Raw genomic sequence first — 5538 nt, forward strand, 5'->3', positions numbered from 1 at the left:
TGGAACCGAAACACTTCCTTTTTTCTTTTTTTTCTGAGACAGGGTCTGGCTGTATCGCCCAGGCTGGAGTGCAGTGGCACGAATCTCAGCTCACTACAACCTCCACCTCCTGGGCTCAAGTGATCCTCTAACCTCAGACTCTCGAGTAGCTGGGATGCACACTACCATACCCGGCTAATTTTTTTTGGATTTTTTTAGTAGAGACAGGGTTTCGCTTTGGATTTTTTTAGTAGAGACAGGGTTTCGCCATGTTGCTCGGTCTGGTCTCAAACTCCTGGGCTCAAGAGATCTGCTTGCCTCAGCCTCCCAAAGTGCTGGGATTACAAGTGTGCGCCACTGCACTTGGTCTAGAAACACTTCCTAAGGTGAAAGTTTGGAGGGTGGAAGAAGAAAAAGAGAAAGGAACCAGAAATGCCCCAAAGATGAAGGCTGAATGATGCTGGAGCTGTTTCACTTTCTTCTCAGGAAGTGTAAATAATGAGCTGTACTTTCTTCTTCATTCACAGTAGTAATAAAAACACAATAACTGGCATATGCAGTGCTTCCAAGCCGACCAAGTGGTTTATATGCATTACCTCATCGGATCCCCTCAACAGCCCTGTAAGGTACACGATATTGTCATCCCAATCTTATAGACCAGGCTTAGAGAGGTTAAGTGGTTGGTCAGCCAGTGAGTGTTGGTGGAGCCACCACTGGGACTTTGAGTCCATTTCCACTGTCACCACTTGTGCTCTGCTGCCCTCCTGCCAGAACACCTCTCAGGCCTGTTCCTTACTGGGCAGGCTGTCCAGATCGGAACCTCCTCCTTTCAAGAGGCTAAACTAAACAGCTGAGCAGGAACAAGAGCAAACAGGGCAGGAAGAGAGGAGGAGCCCTGCAGAACACAGTGGCCCTTTGTTTTCTGCTGCCACCTCCTGGATCATCAACACCCTTTTGTCCTCTGTTCTCTGCTTCAAATACAGGCTGAGCTGGGGTGGCGGGGGGAATGCCCTTCCTACTCATTGCACAACTATATAATAATCTTGAATATTTTAAATTGAAGTCATTTAAAAAGGAAGGAAATTCTGACACATGTGATTGAAGACATTATGTTAAGTGAAATTAGCTGGTCACAAAAGGACAAATCCTGTATGATTCCACTCATATCATGTACCTAGAGTCATGAAATTCATAGAGACAGAAAGTAGAATGGTAGCTGCCAGGGGCTAGGGGGCGGGCAGAAAAGAGGAGAAGCAGAAGTTATTGTTTAATGGGTACAGAGTTTCAGTTTTGCAAGATGAGAAAAGTTCTGGAGATGGATGGTGCTGATGATTACAAAACAACGTGAGTGTATTTAATGACACTGAACTGTACACTTAGAAATGGTTAAAATAGTAAATTTTACTATATATATATATATGTTTCTTTTTTTTTTTTTCTGAGACAGTCTCACTCTGTTGCCCAGGCTAGAGTACAGTGGTGCAATCACAGCTCACTGCAACCTCTGCTTCCCAGGCTCAAGCAATCCTCCTGCCTCAGCCTCCCAAGTAGCTGGGATTACAGGTGTGCATGACCACACCCAGCTAGTTTTTGTATTTTTAGTAGAGACGGGGTTTCACCATGTTGCCCAGGCTGGTCTTGAACTCCTGACCTCAAGTAATCCTCTGGTCTCGGGCTCCCAAAGTTCTAGGATTATAGGCGTGAGCCACCACACCCAACTCTGCTATATATATTTTACACAATTTTTAAAAAACTGAATTCAGCAAACATTTAATGAGCATCTACTCTGTGCTCTGTACTGGGCATTTAAAACCATAAATCATCAGCCCCACCTTCAAGGATCTGTCAGTCCCATTGGGCAAAGTGACATAAATGTACCCAGCCCTGTGTGAAAAGTGCAACAATGGCAGAGTGCACACGCGACTGAAATAGCACCAAGGAAGAAGAGCCAGTTCTGCAGCAAGGTGTGGGGAGGAGTCATGAATCTTTCCTGAAGGAAGCCACATTTCCAGGAACTGAGATGACTTCACGTGTGTAAAGAGGTTGGGCGGGAAGTGGGGCTGCTGAGGACACACAGAACATTCCAAGCAGAGAAATAGCATGAGGAAAAATATAGAGGTGTGAAACGGCACATCGCTGAGTCTCCTCTCCAACTCCTTGCCTTGATTTGTGGGGATATAACTAAACCCATATCCCCTTATTCTATACGATTGATATGTCTACAGGAGTGTTTCTCAAACCATCTGTGATAAAGGACCAGAATATATATATATATATATATATATAATTTCTAGTACATCATAGACTGATATGTGACCCTACTGCATATGACTATTATAGAGTTCATGCCATGTGTGACTTACCATGGAAGATGGAATTGATTTATTTCCTATTCAACAAGAGTTCACTGATCACACACTTGGACATCACAGCAAGGTCAAGTTGCTTTCAAGGCTTCTCAATGGTTTACTGTCATTTTCCATGTTTATATCATTGTGATCCAGAGCTGGTTCACGGGCCACACTTTGAGTAGCGAGTAGCACTGCTGGTCTATAAGAGGGTGAGCCCCTTAAAGAGAGGGAACCATATCTTTTCATTTTATCTGTCCTTGTGCATGCCTCCTGTTTCTTAGCAAGCCCACCCAAAAAGCCCTCTTCTTGCCCAGAAAGGGATGCCCACTTGTTAATCAGCTAGTGTTTTCCCAGTGTTTTGAATTTGGAAAGCTCTGCTGGTATTAAATACTATTATTATTATTAGTCTTGTGTCCACTAAAGTGGATGCCATTTAATTAGAACTGCATAATAAGCAAATCTGCCTTAATTGGCTGGGATGTGGCTGAAAAACCATTTTGTGTCTGCTCTGCACTCTCTGTTCTGTGGCCATCACATCGAGTTCTCTGGCAATGGGTCATTTTGGAGACCTTGGGCAGGGTTTAGGGAAGGTTATCTGGCTACTGATTAACACTTAATTAGCACCTTTTTCATGTAGCACAGCAGTGACTTTGTAAATTTAAAAATTTCAGGGGACCACTTAATGTGGAATTAAAGTACAAGTACAATATTTAAGATGCATGAAATTGTTTTACGCATTACAGCATTAACTAGCTCTTAATTTATGCAGTGCATGCCAGAGAAGGGCAATTAAAGTGTAGCAGGGAAAAAAATTATAGATCTCTACGTTGTCCTGTCTTTTCCTCTAATGATGCTTTTGAAGGTTTTTGCTACATTCATATCTCAACTCCTGTTCTAGATTTAGGAGTAACTGGTAAGTTCTGAAGCTTGTTTGCCCCATAGGAATTGGCATTATCTTTAAGCCGAAGCCATCTCCAACCAATGTCTCCCTTCCAGGACCTAGAAATCCACTTAGCCTCAGTGATTGGTCCAGGGATAGGCACATAGCCTGACTAGCACCAATGAGATGTCAGGAGACTGTTGCTGGGGCCTTATGGAAAAGTGATGCTAAAGGTATCTTCCTCGGTAGCTGTTGGAGGGAGTTGTTCTCTTTTCCTTTGGCCTGTGTGGTGTGGAGATGTGAGGTGCGGAACCATGGCAGTCGTTTTGTAAGCAGTCTGGAGCGGCGGGGGAGGCGGTGTTTGAAATTTGGGGACGAATCCAACACCACAGGATTGCTATATGGCAAGATGAAGAGAAGCCCAACCCTGAGAGATATTGGGTTGGGACTTGTCTGAAGGCAGTATGATCTCTGGACTTTTGAATTAGATTGGAGTCTATACATCTGTTGCATATTCCCCTTCTCTGTCTTTTTTTTCTTTTTTTCTGAGACGGAGTTTCGCTCTTGTCGCCCAGGCTGGAGTGCAATGGCATGATCTCGGCTCACTGCAACCTCCGCCCCCTGGGTTCAAGCAATTCCCCTGCCTCAGCCTCCCGAGTAGCTGGGATTACAGGCACCTGCAACCACGCCCAGCTAATTTTTGTATTTTTAGTAGAGACGGAGTTTCACCATGTTGGCTAGGCTAGTCTTGATCTCCTGACCTCAGGTGATCTGCCTGCCTCGGCCTCTCAAAGTGCTGGGATTACAGGCGTGAGCCACTGCACCCGGCCCCTTCTCTGTCTATATTCATGTTGTTCCCTTTTACTGGAATGTTCTTTCCTTCCTTCTCTATCCTTTGAGGCCAAGTCCAAATGCCACCCATTGAAGAAGCGTGCCTTGACCTGAACCATGCTCGGGGTGGTCAGAGTCATGCCTGCTAATGACCCTTCCTTGAACTTCTCCTTCAGCACAGAGCACATACTGCCCTGAAAAGTGTGAAGCTGCAAATGTGTGACTCTCCATCTCCCCTGCGAGGACCTAAGCTATTGCTTCTCTCTCCCCAGCATTCGTATCACACCTGGCATCCTGAGCCTGCACAGTGCCACTGAACTGTTCCTAGAAAGGAATGTTAACTATGCTAGTATGGTGTAGTCAGAGGAGGAGAGAGTGGATGTGAGCATATGGTCTTCTGAGCTAAAGCCAGACGACAAGAAACAGTAAATGCTGCAGCTGGGTGGATTCCTGGGCCCCTGCAGCTGCTGAGAGCATGTGAGGACTTGCGAGAAGGAGGAGGAGTCACAGGCAGGAGCCAATTAGATTCTCTGTCTTTCCCTCTGTTTACAACTTGCATACATCAGTAGTCTCCAGGCGCAAAGTCAAATGCCAGGAAAGTACACATTTCCCCGGCCCCTCCTCCTCCCCACACCCCAAGCCTTCTGTGGCAGACGTGGGGTTGAGCTGCTCCGATCCCCTTCAGGAGCACATCTGCTGTGCAACTTCTCCGAGTGTTGTGAGCAGACAGCCTCAGGGCCCACCTCAACCTTTCCCACGTGTTCCCCGGCAAGCGGCTGAGCAAGGCGGGTGGTACTCAGGGCCAGCCCTTTCTGAATTAGACAGGGTTCCTCTGATGAGCACCTTTGCTCGGAACTCCCGCTGGGCTAGCAGAGACTTTTCAGATCTGCACTGCCACCTGATGGCTCTCCCTGCCCCGTCCTTCTTCCTCCCCTCCTCCTTCCGCGGTGCTACTTCCAACAAACCCTTGGCCCTCCTTACTCCACCTCAGCACCTGCTTCCATGAGAAATCAACCTGTCACACCCTCCCCAGAGGTCAAAACTGTTCATCGTGGGTGTACGTTCTTCCAGATAGTCTTTTCTTTGTATTTATATACATGTAGGTACGTATGCCACCAAAAGGTTTGTTATTACTCATTTTGTTTTTACATAAATGGGATTATACGGTGTGAATGGCTCTACAACTTTTAAAATTTAACACATCTTCATGAGCAGTCAGTATCGGTGCACATAGGTATGTCTTTTTTGTATTTGCTGTAGAGTATTCCACAGTATGGCTAGCCCATTATTTAACCATTCTTATACTGATGGACATTTGGGTTGTTTCCCTTTTCTGTTATAATTAATAGTACTGCTGAAAACATGCTATCAGTGGGTTTCAAATCACAATAATAAGCTGAACCTTATTCCAATCAGTATAAACCACGCACAATGAAACAGGACATGTATTAACCATGTCTCTTCTTCTTCTTCTTCTTTTTTTTTGAGACGGAGTCT

General features: G+C 45.5%; 3 annotated features.

Annotated features, from left to right (window-relative positions):
• Positions 742 to 1036: an enhancer, noted in NCBI's record as "tiled region #9554; HepG2 Activating DNase unmatched - State 8:EnhW". NCBI's record gives its function as "activates a minimal TATA promoter and a strong SV40 promoter by Sharpr-MPRA in HepG2 cells {active_cell/tissue: HepG2}" and the evidence as "EXISTENCE:reporter gene assay evidence [ECO:0000049][PMID:27701403]".
• Positions 4389 to 4438: an enhancer, noted in NCBI's record as "active region_29542". NCBI's record gives its function as "activates an Ori minimal core promoter by ATAC-STARR-seq in GM12878 lymphoblastoid cells {active_cell/tissue: GM12878}" and the evidence as "EXISTENCE:reporter gene assay evidence [ECO:0000049][PMID:35858748]".
• Positions 4679 to 4858: an enhancer, noted in NCBI's record as "active region_29543". NCBI's record gives its function as "activates an Ori minimal core promoter by ATAC-STARR-seq in GM12878 lymphoblastoid cells {active_cell/tissue: GM12878}" and the evidence as "EXISTENCE:reporter gene assay evidence [ECO:0000049][PMID:35858748]".

This window comes from Homo sapiens, chromosome X (assembly GCF_000001405.40).
Source record: "Homo sapiens chromosome X, GRCh38.p14 Primary Assembly".
Classification (NCBI taxonomy): Eukaryota; Metazoa; Chordata; class Mammalia; order Primates; family Hominidae; genus Homo; species Homo sapiens.